The sequence below is a fragment of the Homo sapiens genome, chromosome 1, assembly GCF_000001405.40.
Source record: "Homo sapiens chromosome 1, GRCh38.p14 Primary Assembly".
NCBI classification, from domain to species: Eukaryota; Metazoa; Chordata; class Mammalia; order Primates; family Hominidae; genus Homo; species Homo sapiens.
Genome location: NC_000001.11, coordinates 93,786,505 through 93,808,213, shown reverse-complemented (window position 1 = coordinate 93,808,213; position 21,709 = coordinate 93,786,505). Strand labels below are relative to the sequence as shown.

At 39.5% G+C, this 21,709-nt stretch overlaps 1 protein-coding gene across 24 annotated transcripts in view, besides 1 other annotated feature; it reads left to right on the top strand.

The window, feature by feature from the left end:
* BCAR3 (BCAR3 adaptor protein, NSP family member) overlaps positions 1-21,709 on the top strand; it is a 286,411-nt gene that overhangs the window by 39,938 nt on the left and 224,764 nt on the right. The gene's annotated exons all lie outside the window — the stretch shown is intronic.
* Positions 11,758-12,346: an enhancer, noted in NCBI's record as "H3K27ac-H3K4me1 hESC enhancer chr1:94261424-94262012 (GRCh37/hg19 assembly coordinates)". NCBI's record gives its function as "activates a minimal SCP1, AML or CMV promoter by ChIP-STARR-seq in primed H9 embryonic stem cells {active_cell/tissue: H9 hESC(primed)}" and the evidence as "EXISTENCE:reporter gene assay evidence [ECO:0000049][PMID:30033119]".

Here is a 21,709-nt window from a genome sequence, read left to right as displayed (position 1 = left end):
GAAAACAATAGCCAAAAATATGGTGCTTTAACGTGTTAAACTAATGAAGCAGACTTAAGGTCTCTCTCTGATCTTCTCCACCTCCCTTTCTCTCTGATTCTCTTTCTGAATGTACAGAGAGGGACTCTCTGCAATTTTTTCTTTTCATTTTTCTTCTTTTTTTTTTTTTTTAAAAAAAAAAAGAGTTTTGCTTTATCACCCAGGATGGAGTGCAGTGGTGTGATCTCAGCTCACTGCAACCTCTGCCTCCCTGAACCTCCCACCTCAGACACCCAATTTCACTGTCAAGTAGCTGGGACTACAGGTCTGTACCACCACACCTGGCTAATTTTTGTTATTTTTTGTAGAGACAGGGTTTTGCTATGTTGCCAAGGCTGACCTGGAACTCCTGGGCTCAAGCATTCCTCCTGCCTCTGGCATCAAAAGTGTTGAGATTACAGCCATGAACCACTGGAATTTTCTTATCTGACCCAGGAAACTTCTTTCCAAAAGAAGTGCAGTTGTCTTAAGACTCCTTCCCTAGGAATCTCACCAACTAACCAGGAAAGATTAACCACTGGAGAGAAGAAACAGGGAGTCATCACCACACCCACACAGACTATTAATCTATTCTTCCGAGAGTAGCATGGAGAGATTAGCTGGGGGACTTAATCTGCATAATAAGACAACTTTTGTTCACAGTGAAGTTCCACCCCTAGCCTTCCCACCACCTTCCGCAGAGCTCAAAGGAACTTTTTCCCAGGCCATTGTTCTTTGTGCTCATTCATTTCCCCTGAAAATCATTTACTCCCACACCCATCATTCTCCATCTCCCCTTCCTCTATGATAAAGAATATATAACTCTCATTGGGTTATTGGGTAATCATTCTCATGGGATTTCCCTGTGCTTTGGCATGTTAAATAATTTTTTCCCCCTCAGTGATCCTTGTTCTGATGTTAAATAAATTTTGTATGTCTTTTTCTCCTATTCATCTGTCTTTTTTTCAGTTTATTTTCAGTGAACCTTCAGTGGATGGAGAGGAGGCTTTCCTCCACCCCTACAGGCCATATCAATCAAAGACATATGCTCTTCTAAATTTTAGAAAATTCTACTATTTTTTTTTTCTTTTGAGATAGGGTCTCACTTTGTCATCCAGGCTGGAGTGCAGTGGCATGATCTCCTCTCACTGCAGCCTTGATATCCTGGGCTCAAGCAATCTTCCCACCTAGGCCCCTCAAGTAGCTGGGACGACAGGTGTGCACCAGCATGCCAGCTAATTTTTGTAGAGACAGGGGTTTGCCATGTTGCCAAGGCTAGTCTTGAACTCCTGAGCTCAGATCTGCCCACCTTTGCTTCCCAAAGTGCTGGAATTACAGGTATGAGCCGCCATGCCCAGCCTTCTACTATTCTTTTATAACTTCTATTGAGGTTCAGAAAACGATAACCCAAAATATGATGCTTTGACATTATGAGTGCTTTGAGTTAAAGAAAATTGAAAGACCTAAGAAATTAGCCACAGAATCAAGGTCTCTTTCTGACCTTTCCCCAGCCTCATCTTTCTGATTCTTTTTCTGGAAGCACTGAGAAGGGCTTTCTCTAGAAGTTTCTTTATCATACTGAAAAAAACTTCTGAAGGAAACACAATTGTCTTAAAACCCCCTCCTAGGAATTTCATCAAATAACCAGGAAAGATTAACCACTAAGAGTTGTCACCACACCTGAACAGAGTTTTCATCTGTGCTTCTGAGGACAGTTCCAAGAGATTACCTAAGAAACTTTATCTACATAATAAGACAACCTTTGTTCTTGCATAGTTTCACCCCTCACTTTCCATGTTAGTCCTATCCAGCTTTCAAAGATAATCATTTATAAAATAGTGTCTGCCTCCCAGGTTCATATATCACTCTCCTATGAAGAGAATATTTAAGCCTCAACCATCTGGCCTCTCTTTGAGTCTCATACTTTGTGTATGGCTCCTGTGTTTATGCATATCAAATGCCTTTTTCTCATATTAATCTGTCCATGGTTAGATCATTCCAGCAAAATTTCAGAGTCGGTAGAAGGCAAAGTTTTCCTCTTCAACACTATGCTTCCTTCCTTTTGTTTTAACATTTTTCTCTTTTTGAAATTCCTGTCATTTAGATCTCAAATCTTTATATCACCCCTTTAGAACTTTTATCTTTTTTTAAATCATATTTTACATTTCTTTTCAAATCTATACTTGGGAGATTTCTTCAATTTCATTATTTAACCTTATTATTGTTATTTTGGAAACCATATTTTTAATTTCAAAAAGCTCTTTCTTGTTCTCTGATTGTTTCTTTTTCATAACATCCTCTTCTTGTTTTGCCACTGTGACATATTTTTCTTAGTTTTCTCTAAGGTTTTTAGAAGTTTTTGTTCATTTGTTTAATCCTTTTCTTCCCCATGAATTATCTCTATTTCCTCTAAAATTATGTTTGTCTGTTGGTTTATTTTTCCTTTTTCCTATTGCAGACTTTCCTCTCATGTTTGTTTACTCTTGGCTTTTCATTTCTGTTTAAGACTGAGGCAATAAGGAGGCTGATAGAAAATCTTAAGAACATAGGGAGAACTTGTCCACTGTCAGGGAATGTTGACAATAAGTCATTCTTTTTGTTGAGGGTCCTAAAGGCAGGAATGCAGAGGGCTTCACTCTGGACTTCCAAATCCCATGTTGGCTGCCCTAGTTCTCCACAGGCAGTCTATACAGTGTCTTCAGAGACACACTGTCCAGTGTTTTACTGAAAGAAGGTGATTGACACCTGTCTAATCTATACAAGCGAGGGTGTCAACTGCTGCACATATAGAACTTTAATGGCTTTCAGCCCCATTTTCCATTACTGCTATCTAGGATCCTTTTCATTTCCAGACTGAAGCACCTCTCATCTTCTGTGGAGAGAATCTTGATCCCTTAGCTGCAGCTCACTCCACCCTGCTGTATTAGTCAGTATTCATACATCTATTTCTGTTTCCAAGAAATCTGTTGAAATCTCTATAAAGCAGATTCCTATGTTCTTCTTTATTGTAGGCTTATGACATTTTAATTCCTGAGCTAGAAGATTCCTGAACTTAAATTGCTGTATGGTACTCTATAACATGGTTGTATGTTTAATTGTAGCAAATGTATAAACAATGTTATGATGAAGATCCTGGTAGCTAAATCATTACACACATCCATGATTTTTTATTTAGAATAAATTGTGAGAAAAATTGCTGCATTAAAATGGAAGCAGTTGTGTTTTAAAATAAATTAAACATGCATTTACCTTAGGGTCCAGAAATTCCACTCATAAGTATTTACCCAAAAGACGTGAAACATAATTCCACACAAAGACTTGTACACAAGTGTTCATAACAAGTTTATTCTATCCATGATGGCTAAAGACTGGAAACAACTCAAATATTCATCAACTGATGAATGGATAAACAAATTGTTACACAGTGGTTCCTCCTTATCCACTGTTTCACTTTCTGCAGTTTCAGTTACTTGCAGTCAACTTCGGTCCAAAAATATTAAGTGGAAAATTCCAGAAATAAACAATTTCCAAGTTTTAAATTGCATCCTGTTCTGAGTAGTACGATAAAATCTCATGCTGGCCAACTCTGTCCTGCCCAGGATGTGAATCATTTCTTTGTCCAGCGCTGCACACTATATACACTGCCTGTCTGTTAGTCACTTAATAGCCATCTTGGTTATCAGATTGGCCCTCATGGTATCACAGTACTTGTGTTCAAGGAATCCCTGTTTTACTTAATACTGCCCCCAAAGTGCAAGAGTAGTGATACTAGCATATTATTATAATTGTTCTATTTTACTGTTAGTTATTGTTGTTAATCTCTTACTGTGCCTAGTTTGTAAATTAAACTTTATCATAGGTATGCATAATACCTATCTCAGAAGAAGAAAAATTTGAACAAAAATTTCATTTTTACAAGAGGTCCAAAATGGCTGTAGGTTAGGCATATGGGTAATAGAAGCTAGGCCTACGAATTAAAGCTGAATTCTCACCTGTGAGGCTGGAGTTTGCCAAAATTAAAAACAAATTATTTTTTAATGTATTTGAAATAGAGATGGGGTCTCACTGTGTTGTATAGGCTGGTCCCAAACTCCTGGCTGTAAGCCATCCTCCCACCTCAGCCTCCCAAAGTACTGGGATTACAGGCATAAGCTGCTATGTCCAGCCTTCAGATATTTCACTGACATGTACTTATGGCCACTTTGCCTATCAGATGAAGCACAGAGGCAGGATAGGATCAATCATCCCTCTCCAGAACCTAAGATGCCTACATATGCATTAAACTTTTACCCTATATACATCAATAGCATATTTTAAGAATGTCACCTTTGCTTCACTGCTCCCTGTTTTCATTTTCTGTGTTGCAAAACATATAAATACTGTGCCTCCTGTACCCATCTGGGGACGCCTTCTCAGTGTTCCCTGAGTTTGTTTCCAAGCTATAGTTCTTAAACTTGGGTCAGAATAAAATTAACTTTGATTTCTTTAAGTCTATAGTGCCAGTTATTTTAACCTTTTGGGACCACAGATGGCATAGTTGGCAGGATTCTAGCAGAATTCATGGACACCCAGGACTCATTCTCTGGGACTCAGTACTTAGTACCAGAATGAACCTATTGTGTTTGAACTGACTCTGGAGGAGCCACTGGGTATACAGGGTGAGTGGCATGGAATCTGGACCTCTCTCTTTTTCTGGTAGAGGTCTATTTCACTTTTTTCTGAGATATTTCCAGAATCAGTAAAAGGAGTAGTAAATCCTGGGTTTGCTAAATTCTTCCTATGCTTGTTATTATTATTCTAAATTGCTAGGAAGGAAGAAAGGAAACAGGTCAACTAAGCATTGCTGCAGGTTAGAGTGGCGGTTTCTTTGATCAGCCGAGTGTTTTCAAAGCTCTTTTGTCTGGTCCAACCCTTTACATTCTATATGTGAACCACTGAGACAGAATGGCTCTGAAGGTATGGGACACTTGCTTCCTACAGCCTGAATCTTGGGTATTCTTAGGTGACAAAATCTTGTGGAGGTATTGCAGGAGATCCCTCATGGCATGTAATTTGGTCTCAAAGGGCTTCACCGTCAACAGAAGAACACTTCAATTGCAATAGATCCTGCAGGGGATGCTCATAAAGGTTGGTCACCCCACATTTGAAGCACCTCACTGCTTCAACAGGTGAGCATCTCCTGAGACGGAGAAGATTAACTCTGGGGTAAGAGCCTGAGAAGTGAAGTTCATAAGCAGCACACTTTTGACCCTGAACACGATTAGTTGGTTGCAGACAAAGGAGAAGGAGGGAGTCTCTTTATGTGCACAATTGGAAGGAGCCGGCTCAAAAACAAAAAGAGTGGAATAGTTTTTTCCAGGGGTATTTAGAAGCTTCTAAAAGAGGGAATGATAAAATTGCTTCCATTCAGAAGGTGGGCCACAAGATTTTGGAAACTGTTTCTCTACTGCAAAAATTGTCTGAAGTTTCCACTGTCTCTCACTCCTCCTCTGACCATTCCTTCTTCTGATCCTCCAGAACCCTTTTATTCTTTGCTTTCAAAACTGCTGGCCTAGATATTCCTTTACTCCCACTTCCATAACCCACAGAAGTTTTGACAGCATGCATTAGAGAAAAGCCTGACCCAAGGGGAAAACCTTCAGTGGCCCATACTCCCTGGACCAAGGCAGAACTTAGAGCTCTTACTAAGGAATTTCCAGATCCTACCCAGGATCCTACTGGTTTTACTTAGGAGTTTAGTCTAGCTGTAAGAAATTATGAATCTTGGCCATTTAGCTCTGTGTCAGTTGGTTCACATGTTAGTATCTGAAAGAAAAGCAAGGGAATGGGTGTCAAAGGCTGACTGGAAAGATCCACTAAACAATTTTCTTTTTTTTTTTTCTTTTAAAGTTGAGATCTGACTCAGCTGCCCAGGCTGGAGTGCAGTGGTGTGATTATGGCTCATTGCAGCCTTTAACTCCTGGGTTCAAATGATCTTCCCACCTCAGCCTCTTGAGTACCTGGGACTACAGGCACACATCACCACACCTGGCTAATTTTTTTTAATTTTAAACTTTTTTTTTTTTTTTGAGATGGAGTCTTGCTCTGTCGTCAGGCTGCAGTGCAGTGGCACAATCCCAGCTCACTGCAACCTCCACCTCCCAGGTTCAAGCCAGGTTCAGGTGATTCTCCTGCCTCAGCCTCCTGAGGAGCTGGGATTACAGGCACGTGCTGCCACACCCAGCTAATTTTTGTATTTTTAGTAGAGACGGGGTTTCACCATATTGGCCAGGCTGGTCTCAATCTCCTGACCTCATGATCTACCCATCTTGGCCTCCCAAAGTGCTGGGATTACAGACATGAGCCACTGCGCCTGGCCAATTTTAAACATTTTTTGTGGAGATAAGGTCTTACTATGTTGCCTTACTATATATGCCTTACTATGTTACTACTGGTCTCTAACTCTTGGCCTCAAATGATTCTCCTGCATTGGCCTCCCAAGTCGCTGGGATTATAGGCGTGAGCCACCACACCCAGCCTGAGAAACTGTCTTCATAAACAAACAGCTGCAGACCAAGCAAAAGCTTGAGAACTGACAAACCATTTAGCCTAAACAATTCGCCTGATATTTCCTAAGACCTCTGACTGGTCTAAAGTCCAGCAATGTAAACAAAAACCAAACAAGATCGTGCTGGATTACTTTGAAAGATTTGAAAAGGGTTTTAGACAATATTTGGAAATGAATGAAGAAAGTCTAAGGAATCATCAGAATGATTCTATTTTAATTTTAACCTTCTTTTAGAGATTGGATGAGCAATTGGCCAAGGTGGTCAAAATGCACCAAATAAATTGGGATTCTGTGCACACTTTGGAACTAGTGAAACTTGCGATAAATTGGCCAGTTATACAGAATAAGAAAGACAACGAAGCCGCTAAAATCATGAATTTACAGATTCAACAACTTACTGCTCAGTTTACCTGATCTAAACAGAGGCCTTGCTTTCAAAAGAAGCCTCAGAAACATCTAAAGATGTTTGTTGTTATTGCAAGAAAACAAGACATCTAAAGAAAAATTGCAGAATACTGAAATGGGCATAGAAACAAAAGGAAGAAAAGGAAAAGAGGAATACGGGCTCCGAGGGAATCAAGAGGGCTTTCCCTTTTCTTTTGCAATACTCTGCGGGAAGTGGAACTATGTATAAATAGAGAATAAACGAAAGCATTAGTTGACATGGGAGCTACCCTTTCTGTTCTCAACCCTACCTTTTTAAAGAGTGTTCTTCCTCAGCGTAATCAAACAGTTCAAATGATAGGGATATATACTCAACCAGTGACTACATACAAATCAGAATCTCTGCCTTTCCAATAGGGAAATTTAGATGAACATCCTTCTTTTCTTTGGAGCCTTCTACACCGATACATCTTATGGGAGGAGATTTTCTAGAACTTTATAGTGCTCATACTTCTTTTTCAGAAAGAAGAAAAATATTTTAAAAAAATAACTGAAAGAGGATTGATTCAAAATTATAAATCAGAAAATTCAGAGCAGATAATCATCCAAATTCAGTCATCAAATATTAAGACAAATAAAGAACTTGATGCTTGCTTTCCTTCTTATTTATTTATTTATTTATTTATTTAGAGACAGAGTCTCACTCTGTCACCCAGGCTGGAGTGCAGTGGCACAATCTCAGCTCACTGCAACCTCTGCCTCCCGGGTTTAACCAATTCTCCTCCCTCAGCCTCCAAACTAGCTGGGATTACAGGTGCACACCACCACGCCCAGCTAATTTTTTTGTATTTTTAATAGAGACAGGGTTTCACCATGTTGGCCAGGCTTGTTTCGAACTCCTGACCTCAAGGGATCTGCCCACCTTGGCCTCCCAAGGTGCTAGGATTACAGATGTGAGCCACCATGCCCAGCCATCTTGATGCTTTATTAAGCCAAATCCCTAATTATTTATGGTCTGAATCATCCACCAATGTCATAAAAATCTTAACAGCTACCCCAATATGGATATGAATGGATCCAAATAAACCACTTCCATGTCCAAATATTAAACAATAACAGGAAGCGATAATAGAAATAAAATCAATAATCAAATATTTTATTGATAAAGGATGGATTATCTCTTCCACCAGTCCTTGTAATACTCCCATCCTCCCAGCATGAAAATCTAATAGGAAGGAATGGAGGTTTATACAAGATTAGAGAACCATTAACAAGATTGTGATTCCCCATCATTCAGTAGTCCCAAATCCCTACACACTCCTTTATTTAACATACCAGTAGGCAGTGAATTTCACTAACTGATTTATGCAGTGCTTTTTGTTTATTAGCATACCAGTAGGTCCTGACAGTCAATATTTGTTTGCCTTTACCTGGAACAGCTGTCAATATACCTGGACTGTTATGCCTCAAGGTTATACTGGAAGCCCAACTATTTTTCAAAATATTAAGGGCTGAGATGGCTGAGCTAAATTTTGAGGAAATTCCACTCTAGTTCAGTATGTGGATGATCTCTTGTTATGCTTTTCCATTCTTCATGATTGTAAAAAACACACCCTGTAATTGCTGGAACAATTAGCTGAAACAAGACATAAGTTATCTAAAGAAAAATTCCAATATTGCTTAACAGAAATAAAACATTTGGGAAATTTAATTTCTAAGGAGGAAATACATATAAATTCAGATAAAGTAACTGGAATTTTTGCATACCCAACTCCAAAGACTGAAAGACAGCTTAGGAGTGTTTTAGGCTTAGCTGGCTACTGACACAGTTAGTTACCCAATTTTTCTTTCATGGAACAGTCTTTACATGCATTGTTGAAAGATCAACCTGACCCCATACATTGGATATCCTAAGAACAAATAACTATTCAGTAAATAAAGGAAAATCTTACAAGGGCGCCTGCTTTGAGCCATCCAAATTATCAGCTACCATTTTTGTTCTTTGTTTATGGAAGCCATGGCATCATCCTGGGTGTTCCAGCCCCAAAACACGGGGGAAAATATAGACCTGTTGGCTCTGATAGTCAGCAATAGACTCTATAGCTCACGGGCTGCCCCCTTGTTGGAGGGCCATTTCAGGCATTATCATATTTCTCAAGGCTACTCAGGAAACTAATGGAGGCTCCCTTGACTATATATGTACTTCATTCTGCAGAAGCTTTTTTGAATTCACATCATACACAATATTTTTCTGTCAACTGATTGGCTTTATTACAATGTACTTTTACTCTCTGCTCCACACATTACCCTCTCTTGCTGTAATACTCTTAATCTCACAAGTTACTTCTTGAAGCAACTGAGGAGATTACCTCATGACTGTATGGAACAGCATACAGTCTGTATGCTGTATAGTTCTATTACTAATAGAACAGCTTTTGATGCCCAGTCAGAATTTGCAGGAGATACCACTACAAAATGCTGATGTTACCTGGTTCACAGATGGATCATATCTAAAGGATAAGTTTGAAAAATACCAAACAAGCTATGTCGTTGTGTCTCATGTAGACATCATAGAGAGCAATTTCTTGCCTAAAGTAAAGTCAGCACAGTTGGCTGGATTAATAGTACTCACCAGAGGTTGTCTAACTGGCCAAAAATCAAATAACTAATATTTATACTGACAGCCATTACACTTTTGGTGCAGCTCATGTCTTTGGAATGTTATGGAAACAGCGAGGTTATTTAACCTCCTCTGGACATCCTATTAAACATGGCTCTCAAGTTTCTGATCTTCTGGAAGCCATCCAGTTACCAAAAAAAATTGGCTATTGTTAAGAGTCTTGGACATTCCAAACATGACTCCCTGGAGTGAAGGAGATAATTTTGCTGATGCTGAGCAAAAAAAATAAAAATAAAAATTAGCTTAATGCTAATATCAAATGAAACTGTAGAGATGGCCATGTTTAAAGTGAAGGGGCTCAAGAAAAGGCTCCAAAGCGGAAAAAGCAAATATGACTAAGGGAGAATGCTTTTCCCCCAACTTGCAAAATATAATATAGACCCAGTGACAGGAAAGCACATCCCTATTTTGCCTTTGGGATATCAATTTCCTATATTACAGCATGTCCATGAACTCATTCACTGGGGACTTGAGAAAATATTTGCCTGGGGAAAACACTATTACTGGAAACCCTCACCCACAGTAGTTCATAAGGTTTGTGCTAAATGTCCAATTTGTCCTATATATAATCCAGGAAAGCCTCTTCTAGATCTCAAGGGCATTTACCTTTGCCCACCGGCCCTTTCAATATTTGACAAATGGATTTTATCCACTTACCTCCAGCTCAGGGTTATAAATATGTATTGGTTATGATTTATATGTTCTCTCATTGGGTTGAAGAATTTCCTTGAGACAGTAGGAAAATGTTTGTTGGAATGGATAATTTCCTTTTGAGGAATTCTTTCCAAATTACATAGAAATAGGGAACTCATTTCACTGAACAGATAATTCACTTAATTTGTATAATCTGGCCTATTTTCCAATATTTTTATTGTACATACCATGCCCAGTCTTCTGATTGGTAGAATGAATATATCAAAAATAAAACCCAGCTAGAAAATTATCGAAAGCTTTTCCTATTACTTGGCCCCAGGCTCTTCCACTGGTTTTGCTTAACCTAAGAGCAGCTCCTTCTGGAATAATATGTCAATTATCCCATGAGATAATTACAGGTTGACCTATGAAAGTAAATGGCAGTTTATATGAACCAACTTTACTGAAAGGAGATATACTCCATTATTAACAAAGCTTAACTAAACTTCTTTTCCAAACAAACTAAATTGTAAAAAGAGCCTTAAATGCAATAGAGGCAGGACTTGGGACATTAAGACAAGTTGAGAATGTATTTAATGAAGAAAGACATTTACAAGAAAAGTTGATACTTACCAACCTAAGTAGAATAAAAAGCATACTCTTTCAGAAGGAAAGTGAGGGTTGAGAAGCTGCATGGAAAGATAATGATGCTATTGCTAAATGGGTGAATCAAACTGCCTGGCTAACGAGGGACTATGCCAAAGCCCAACAATCAGAAAAAGCATGGGTTCAAATTCAACAAGGTTATTGACCATGCTAATCCAAATGGAAGCAGAAGTGGCCTCTAAAACGTGGCCAGTCGTTTTGGATGCAGAAGCACAAGGTATACATTTATGGAAAACATATGGGCCCTCTTCTTCCTGGAAAATTGCTACCAGGGTACACAGCCTGTACTCTTAGGGCTTCAGCAACCCACATATACAGTAACCAGAAATATAATGCAGTATAGCTAGTGGAAATTGGGATCATTTTTAATAATACCCGTGTTCTCCCAACAGGCAGTTGATGGAACCATACTAAATAATAATATTTGGAATCCAATTTCAGTTTTAGATTGCAAACAAATTCAGGAAGAATTGTTCTGTCCCCAGAACATCTGGAATCCTGAAATCATGGAAACATGGTTCCTAATTTTTACCCCTATTCAAAATAATATATAGGAAATGGATATTTTTGTTTGGAAGCGAAGACAAATAAGACTATAAGTGTTGGGGAGGAGCCAAGATGGCCGAATAGGAACAGCTCCAGTCTACAGCTCCCAGCGTGAGCGACGCAGAAGACAGGTGATTTCTGCATTTCCATCTGAGGTACCGGGTTCATCTCACTAGGGAGTGCCAGACAGTGGGCGCAGGCCAGTGTGTGCGCGCACCGTGCGCGAGCCGAAGCAGGGGGAGGCATTGCCTCACCTGGGAAGCGCAAGGGGTCAGGGAGTTCCCTTTCCGAGTCAAAGAAAGGGGTGACGGACGCACCTGGAAAATCAGGTCACTCCCACCCGAATATTGCGCTTTTCAGACCGGCTTAAAAAACGGCGCACCACGAGACTATATCCCACACCTGGCTCAGAGGGTCCTACACCCACGGAATCTCGCTGATTGCTAGCACAGCAGTCTGAGATCAAACTGCAAGGCGGCAACGAGGCTGGGGGAGGGGCGCCCGCCATTGCCCAGGCTTGCTTAGGTAAACAAAGCAGCCAGGAAGCTCGAACTGGGTGGAGCCCACCATAGCTCAAGGAGGCCTGCCTGCCTCTGTAGGCTCCACCTCTGGGGGCAGGGCACAGACAAACAAAAAGACAGCAGTAACCTCTGCAGACTTAAGTGTCCCTGTCTGACAGCTTTGAAGAGAGCAGTGGTTCTCCCAGCACGCAGCTGGAGATCTGAGAACGGGCAGACTGCCTCCTCAAGTGGGTCCCTGACCCCTGACCCCCGAGCAGCCTAACTGGGAGGCACCCCCCAGCAGGGGCACACTGACACCTCACACGGCAGGGTATTCCAACAGACCTGCAGCTGAGGGTCCTGTCTGTTAGAAGGAAAACTAACAACCAGAAAGGACATCTACACCGAAAACCCATCTGTACATCACCATCATCAAAGACCAAAAGTAGATAAAACCACAAAGATGGGGAAAAAACAGAACAGAAAAACTGGAAACTCTAAAAAGCAGAGCGCCTCTCCTCCTCCAAAGGAACGCAGTTCCTCACCAGCAACGGAACAAAGCTGGATGGAGAATGATTTTGACGAGCTGAGAGAAGAAGGCTTCAGACGATCAAATTACTCTGAGCTACGGGAGGACATTCAAACCAAAGGCAAAGAAGTTGAAAACTTTGAAAAAAATTTAGAAGAATGTATAACTAGAATAACCAATACAGAGAAGTGCTTAAAGGAGCTGATGGAGCTGAAAACCAAGGCTCGAGAACTACGTGAAGAATGCAGAAGCCTCAGGAGCCGATGTGATCAACTGGAAGAAAGGGTATCAGCAATGGAAGATGAAATGAATCAAATGAAGCGAGAAGGGAAGTTTAGAGAAAAAAGAATAAAAAGAAATGAGCAAAGCCTCCAAGAAATATGGGACTATGTGAAAAGACCAAATCTACGTCTGATTGGTGTACCTGAAAGTGATGTGGAGAATGGAACCAAGTTGGAAAACACTCTGCAGGATATTATCCAGGAGAACTTCCCCAATCTAGCAAGGCAGGCCAACGTTCAGATTCAGGAAATACAGAGAACGCCACAAAGGTACTCCTCGAGAAGAGCAACTCCAAGACACATAATTGTCAGATTCACCAAAGTTGAAATGAAGGAAAAAATGTTAAGGGCAGCCAGAGAGAAAGGTCGGGTTACCCTCAAAGGAAAGCCCATCAGACTAACAGCGGATCTCTCGGCAGAAACCCTACAAGCCAGAAGAGAGTGGGGGCCAATATTCAACATTCTTAAAGGAAAGAATTTTCAACCCAGAATTTCATATCCAGCCAAACTAAGCTTCATAAGTGAAGGAGAAATAAAATACTTTATAGACAAGCAAATGCTGAGAGATTTTGTCACCACCAGGCCTGCCCTAAAAGAGCTCCTGAAGGAAGCGCTAAACATGGAAAGGAACAACCGGTACCAGCCGCTGCAAAATCATGCCAAAATGTAAAGACCATCAAGACTAGGAAGAAACTGCATCAACTAACGAGCAAAATCACCAGCTAACATCATAATGACAGGATCAAATTCACACATAACAATATTAACTTTAAATATAAATGGACTAAATTCTGCAATTAAAAGACACAGACTGGCAAGTTGGATAAAGAGTCAAGACCCATCAGTGTGCTGTATTCAGGAAACCCATCTCACGTGCAGAGACACACATAGGCTCAAAATAAAAGGATGGAGGAAGATTTACCAAGCCAATGGAAAACAAAAAAAGGCAGGGGTTGCAATCCTAGTCTCTGATAAAACAGACTTTAAACCAACAAAGATCAAAAGAGACAAAGAAGGCCATTACATAATGGTAAAGGGATCAATTCAACAAGAGGAGCTAACTATCCTAAATATTTATGCACCCAATACAGGAGCACCCAGATTCATAAAGCAAGTCCTGAGTGACCTACAAAGAGACTTAAACTCCCACACATTAATAATGGGAGACTTTAACACCCCACTGTCAACATTAGACAGATCAACGAGACAGAAAGTCAACAAGGATACCCAGGAAATGAACTCAGCTCTGCACCAAGCGGACCTAATAGACATCTACAGAACTCTCCACCCCAAATCAACAGAATATACATTTTTTTCAGCACCACACCACACCTATTCCAAAATTGACCACATAGTTGGAAGTAAAGCTCTCCTCAGCAAATGTAAAAGAACAGAAATTATAACAAACTATCTCTCAGACCACAGTGCAATCAAACTAGAACTCAGGATTAAGAATCTCACTCAAAGCCGCTCAACTACATGGAAACTGAACAACCTGCTCCTGAATGACTACTGGGTACATAACGAAATGAAGGCAGAAATAAAGATGTTCTTTGAAACCAACGAGAACAAAGACACCACATACCAGAATCTCTGGGATGCATTCAAAGCAGTGTGTAGAGGGAAATTTATAGCACTAAATGCCTACAAGAGAAAGCAGGAAAGATCCAAAATTGACACCCTAACATCACAATTAAAAGAACTAGAAAAGCAAGAGCAAACACATTCAAAAGCTAGCAGAAGGCAAGAAATAACTGAAATCAGAGCAGAACTGAAGGAAATAGAGACACAAAAAACCCTTCAAAAAATCAATGAATCCAGGAGCTGGTTTTTTGAAAGGATCAACAAAATTGATAGACCGCTAGCAAGACTAATAAAGAAAAAAAGAGAGAAGAATCAAATAGACACAATAAAAAATGATAAAGGGGATATCACCACCGATCCCACAGAAATACAAACTACCATCAGAGAATACTACAAACACCTCTATGCAAATAAACTAGAAAATCTAGAAGAAATGGATACATTCCTCGACACATACACTCTCCCAAGACTAAACCAGGAAGAAGTTGAATCTCTGAATAGACCAATAACCGGCTCTGAAATTGTGGCAATAATCAATAGTTTACCAACCAAAAAGAGTCCAGGACCAGATGGATTCACAGCCGAATTCTACCAGAGGTGCAAGGAGGAACTGGTACCATTCCTTCTGAAACTATTCCAATCAATAGAAAAAGAGGGAATCCTCCCTAACTCATTTTATGAGGCCAGCATCATTCTGATACCAAAGCCGGGCAGAGACACAACCAAAAAAGAGAATTTTAGACCAATATCCTTGATGAACATTGATGCAAAAATCCTCAATAAAATACTGGCAAACCGAATCCAGCAGCACATCAAAAAGCTTATCCACCATGATCAAGTGGGCTTCATCCCTGGGATGCAAGGCTGGTTCAATATACGCAAATCAATAAATGTAATCCAGCATATAAACAGAGCCAAAGACAAAAACCACATGATTATCTCAATAGATGCAGAAAAAGCCTTTGACAAAATTCAACAACCCTTCATGCTAAAAACTCTCAATAAATTAGGTATTGATGGGATGTATTTCAAAATAATAAGAGCTATCTATGACAAACCCACAGCCAATATCATACTGAATGGGCAAAAACTGGAAGCATTCCCTTTGAAAACTGGCACAAGACAGGGATGCCCTCTCTCACCACTCCTATTCAACATAGTGTTGGAAGTTCTGGCCAGGGCAATCAGGCAGGAGAAGGAAATAAAGGGTATTCAATTAGGAAAAGAGGAAGTCAAATTGTCCCTGTTTGCAGACGACATGATTGTTTATCTAGAAAACCCCATCGTCTCACCCCAAAATCTCCTTAAGCTGATAAGCAACTTCAGCAAAGTCTCAGGATACAAAATCAATGTACAAAAATCACAAGCATTCTTATACACCAACAACAGACAAACAGAGAGCCAAATCATGAGTGAACTCCCATTCACAATTGCTTCAAAGAGAATAAAATACCTAGGAATCCAACTTACAAGGGATGTGAAGGACCTCTTCAAGGAGAACTACAAACCACTGCTCAAGGAAATAAAAGAGGACACAAACAAATGGAAGAACATTCCATGCTCATGGGTAGGAAGAATCAATATCGTGAAAATGGCCATACTGCCCAAGGTAATTTACAGATTCAATGCCATCCCCATCAAGCTACCAATGACTTTCTTCACAGAATTGGAAAAAACTACTTTAAAGTTCATATGGAACCAAAAAAGAGCCCGCATCGCCAAGTCAATCCTAAGCCAAAAGAACAAAGCTGGAGGCATCACACTACCTGACTTCAAACTATACTACAAGGCTACAGTAACCAAAACAGCATGGTACTGGTACCAAAACAGAGATATAGATCAATGGAACAGAACAGAGCCCTCAGAAATAATCCCACATATCTACAACTATCTGATCTTTGACAAACCTGAGAAAAACAAGCAATGGGGAAAGGATTCCCTATTTAATAAATGGTGCTGGGAAAACTGGCTAGCCATATGTAGAAAGCTGAAACTGGATCCCTTCCTTACACCTTATACAAAAATCAATTCAAGATGGATTAAAGATTTAAACGTTAGACCTAAAACCATAAAAACCCTAGAAGAAAACCTAGGCATTACCATTCAGGACATAGGCGTGGGCAAGGACTTCATGTCCAAAACACCAAAAGCAATGGCAACAAAAGCCAAAATTGACAAATGGGATCTAATTAAACTAAAGAGCTTCTGCACAGCAAAAGAAACTACCATCAGAGTGAACAGGCAACCTACAACATGGGAGAAAATTTTCGCAACCTACTCATCTGACAAAGGGCTAATATCCAGAATCTACAATGAACTCAAACAAATTTACAAGAAAAAAACAAACAACCCCATCAAAAAGTGGGCGAAGGACATGAACAGACACTTCTCAAAAGAAGACATTTATGCAGCCAAAAAACACATGAAAAAATGCTCATCATCACTGGCCATCAGAGAAATGCAAATCAAAACCACTATGAGATATCATCTCACACCAGTTAGAATGGCAATCATTAAAAAGTCAGGAAACAACAGGTGCTGGAGAGGATGTGGAGAAATAGGAACACTTTTACACTTGGTGGGACTGTAAACTAGTTCAACCATTGTGGAAGTCAGTGTGGCGATTCCTCAGGGATCTAGAACTAGAAATACCATTTGACCCAGCCATCCCAATACTGGGTATATACCCAAATGACTATAAATCATGCTGCTATAAAGACACATGCACACGTATGTTTATTGCGGCATTATTCACAATAACAAAGACTTGGAACAAACCCAAATGTCCAACAATGATAGACTGGATTAAGAAAATGTGGCACATGTACACCATGGAATACTATGCAGCCATAAAAAATGATGAGTTCATGTCCTTTGTAGGGACATGGATGAAATTGGAAACCATCATTCTCAGTAAACTATCGCAAGAACAAAAAACCAAACACCGCATATTCTCACTCATAGGTGGGAATTGAACAATGAGATCACATGGACACAGGAAGGGGAATATCACACTCTGGGGACTGTGGTGGGGTCGGGGGAGGGGGGAGGGATAGCATTGGGAGATATACCTAATGCTAGATGACACGTTAGTGGGTGCAGCACACCAGCATGGCACATGTATACATATGTAACTAACCTGCACAATGTGCACATGTACCCTAAAACTTAAAGTATAATTAAAAAAAAAAAAATTAAGAAAAAAAAAAAATGAATACAAAAAAAAAAAAAGACTATAAGTGTTTTAGATCTTACATGAAAGCAGACAGTATTTGATTTAAATTATACTGCCATTTAGTGCACTACTGGATTCATAGGAAAGCTACCTTTAGGACAGAATAACCCATATAATAATGAGGACACTGATAATCAAATATTTTTGGGAATTGGAACTCAACCCTCTTCAAGTTGTACTCCCAGCAGAAAATGAATGGTAAGTTAAGCAATTAGATATTATAAATCATCAGTTAATTACAGTTCTGGATAAATCAACTCACATATATAAAAAAGTACATATATAAGCAAAGGGAGAGGGATGATTATTCTATTAAGCACAAACTATCAAAATGTATGTTCAGGGTTTTTTTCTATAATATGTTATTTCTTTTCTTCATTGTCTTTAGCCAAATGAACCTCTCGGTTGTTCACTGTATTGTTTATTATTTTTCTAATATTTCTGTTACAAATGTTATAAATGCTGCAGAAATTGCAAATTTCATAGAAAGAACAGAATTCCAGCTAAAATTATGTTAGTTCATCAATTTGAACTAATAGCCATAGAATGTAAGTAAAGGCAGTCTTCTATGGCCCATTTTGTCCCACACACTCCCTCCTCTACTTCTGACCAAATGGGGAAGGGCTTCCCATTAACTTTTGTTTAGCCCTAAAGTCCCAAGGCTTACAAAAGGACATCAAGCTGGATATTCTTCCACCTGACTCCTCAAGGTCCCTCACCAGTATGACTGACTGTGCAATGGATCATTGCCTCTAAAGAATCTCTCCTAAGGAAATAATCCTAATTGCAATCCTGATCTTGTTTCTCCCTATGCTAATGAGGATACATTAGCATAAAACAAGGGGCTTTGGCATTCCAGAAGGAAAAATAGGAGCCTCTGCATCTTCACTGGAAAACCAGATGATGGCACTTCATGTAGGGGTGAACAATAGCGTAAGGACATTTCAGAATTCTGATTTGATCCTGTATGCCCTATCATTCTAAACAAATGAGACCTGTTCTCTTCAAATTTCTTATTATTTGGTCTTCCCACCCCACCCCAAGTTACAGCCACAGTGATTAGTTTGGTGTTTGTTCTTCCAGATTATCTAATAAATATACTAATACGTATCTGTGCATACAATTTTTGTGGATGTGGAATGTTACTACATACATATTCTTGCAACTTGACTATAACATTTTTAAGGTTTTTAGCTCCTACAAAGGGCCATTGCTTTCCCCCATAGGGAGGGCTTAGCAAAGAACCCTACATATAATAGGTCTTTACATGTTAGATTCAGTGTCTTTCTTTGCTGGTGAGCATTTCCTCTCACACCAAAAGACAGTATTTTAATAGGTTGGGTGTAGTGGCTTGTGCCTGTAATCCCAACACTTTGGGAGGCTGAGGAGGGAGGATTGCTTGAAGCCACACGTTAGAGACCAGCCTGGCCAACAATTTTACATATTTTTTTAATTAGCTGGGTGCTAAATTTTAGTAGTTCCAGCTACTTGGGAGGCTGAGACAGGAGAATTGCTTGAGCCCAGGAGTAAGAGGTTATAGTGAGCTAGGATCGCACCACTCCACTCTAGCCTGAGTGACAGATCATTTCTCAAAAAAGAGAGAAAGATAGAGGAAGAAAAAATAAAGGAAGGGAGGGAGGAAGGGAGGGAATATTTTAACATTTGCTGGTATTATTTTTACTAAAATCACACATTCTCTAACTTTTAGCCTAAGTTCTTGTAGCCTAAATTCCTTCTACTACTGAAAGGAAAGCAGGACTCAGTGGGACTCTGGGTGGTAGTTGGGACTGAGCAGTGACTTGGCATGGATTAAGGATGCCCAAACAGTGCCCAAAAAATGAAGTTATAGGAATATTTGAGCAGGGAGTGGCAATGGTCTATCTCTGCCAGCCAGAAGAGGCTCCAGCCCCCACAGTCATCTCAGATTAACAGCAGATTTCTCAGCAGAAACCTTACAAGCCAATGGGATCGGGGTCCAATCTTTAGCCTCCTTAAACAAAATAATTGTCAGCCAAGAATTTTAGATCCAGCAAAACTAAGCTTCATACCTGAAGGAAAGATAAAGTCTTTTTTCAGACAAACAAATGCTGAAAGAATTTGCCACTACCAAACCACTGCTATAAGAAATGCTAAAAGGAGTTCTAAGTCTTGGAACAAAACCTCACAATACACCAAAATAGAATCTCCTTAAAGCATAAATCTCACAGGGCCTATAAAACAATAACACAATGAAAAATAACAGGGTATTTAGGCACTAAATAACATAATGAATAGAACAGTACCTCACTTCTCAATACTAATGTTGAATGGAGAAGTTCTAAAAGCTCCACTTAAAAGATACAGAATGGCAGAATGGATAAAACTTCATCAACCAAGGATCTACTGACTTCAAGAGACTCACCTAATACATAAGGACTCACATAAAGAGGTGGAAAAAGACATTCCACAGAAATAGAAACCAAGAGCAAGCAAGCAGGAGTAGCTATTCTTATATCAGACAAAACAGACTTTAAAGCAACAAAAGTAAAAAAAGACAAAGAAGGACATTATATAATGATAAAAGGATTAGTCCAACAGGAAGACATTACATTCCTAAATATACATGCACCTAACACTGGAGCTCCCAAATTTATAAAACAATTACTACTAGACCTAAGAAATGAGATAGATGGCAACACAATAATAGTGAGGGACTTCAATACTCCACTGACAGCACTAGACAGGTCATTAAGACAGAGCGTCAACAAAGGAACAATGGATTTAAACTACACCCTAGAACAAATGGACTTAACAGATATTTACAGAACATTCTACCCAACAACTGAAGAATATATATTCTTCTCATCAGCACGTGGAACATTCTCCAAGATAGACCATATGATAGGCCACAAAACAATTCTCAATAAATTTAAGAAAATTGAAATCATATCAAGTATCTTCTCAGACCACAGTGGAATAAAACTGGAAATAAACTCCAAAAGGAACTCTCAAAACAATGCAGATACATGAAAATTAAATAATCTGCGCTTGAATGATCTTTGAGTTAACAATGAAATCAAGACGGAAATTAAAAAATTTTTTGAGCTGAATGATGTTAGTGACACAACTTATCAAAACCTTTGGGAAACAGCAAAAGTGGTGCTAAGAGGAAAGTTCGTAGCATTAAATCCCTACATCAAAAAGTTTGAAAGGGCACAAATAGACAATCTAATGTCACACCTTAAGGAACTAGAGAAACAAGAACAAACCAAACCCAAACCCAGCAGAATAAAAGAAATTAACAAAGATCAGAGCAGAACTAAATGATTATTCCTCTTAAGTTTTCACCCACCATCTGTCTCAGATGCCCCTTTTCCTCCATTCCTTCAAGCTTAATGCCAAGCCCACTATATCCAGTCATTGGGGACACAGGGCCTCTGTCAGCTGAGAATTGAAACCCTGCTCCCTCCCCTGACAAGACACGGACTGCTTAAATGTTAAACTATGAGCATTTCTTTAAGAAATAAACTGCAGGAGAAATGTCTTAAAGGATTACATGGAAGATGTGTGAAGTATAGATCTCTAAACTTAGAAACAATCAGTGATTCTTAGGTGCAAAAGAATCATCTGGAAAGTGACTGAAAAATGCAGCTTCCCAGGCCCCATTCTAAGGCAGTTAGCTGCAGGGGACAGTGTGAAAAATCACAGTTGGAGGAACATTGGCCCAGATGATCCACTAAAATGCTTAGTCTTCACACTTAAAAAGAGTTTGGAGCAATGCTACACTCAGCTATGGAAGGGTTACCACTCCTTCCTCAGCCTGATGTCAGGTTCAAATTAAGCTTCAGATTGTCCATTTCCCCTGCTATTTGTCTCAGTGAGTTCTCTCTCAGCCTTGGAAACCTGGAAGGAAAACACCTTTTCCTTTTAACTTAAAAATTTTGGTATCTGTGCTTTTGGAGGTTCTGAATTGATCTTGGGCCTTTCTTTGGCCTTCCAGGAGTGTCTCTGGCTACAAATTCAACATTTGATCCTGTTCCCCTTATCTATTTCTGTGTAAAAAGTCACTCCTAAGCTTAGTGACTTAAAGCAATGACATTCATTTATTTTGATTATGAATCTGTAAT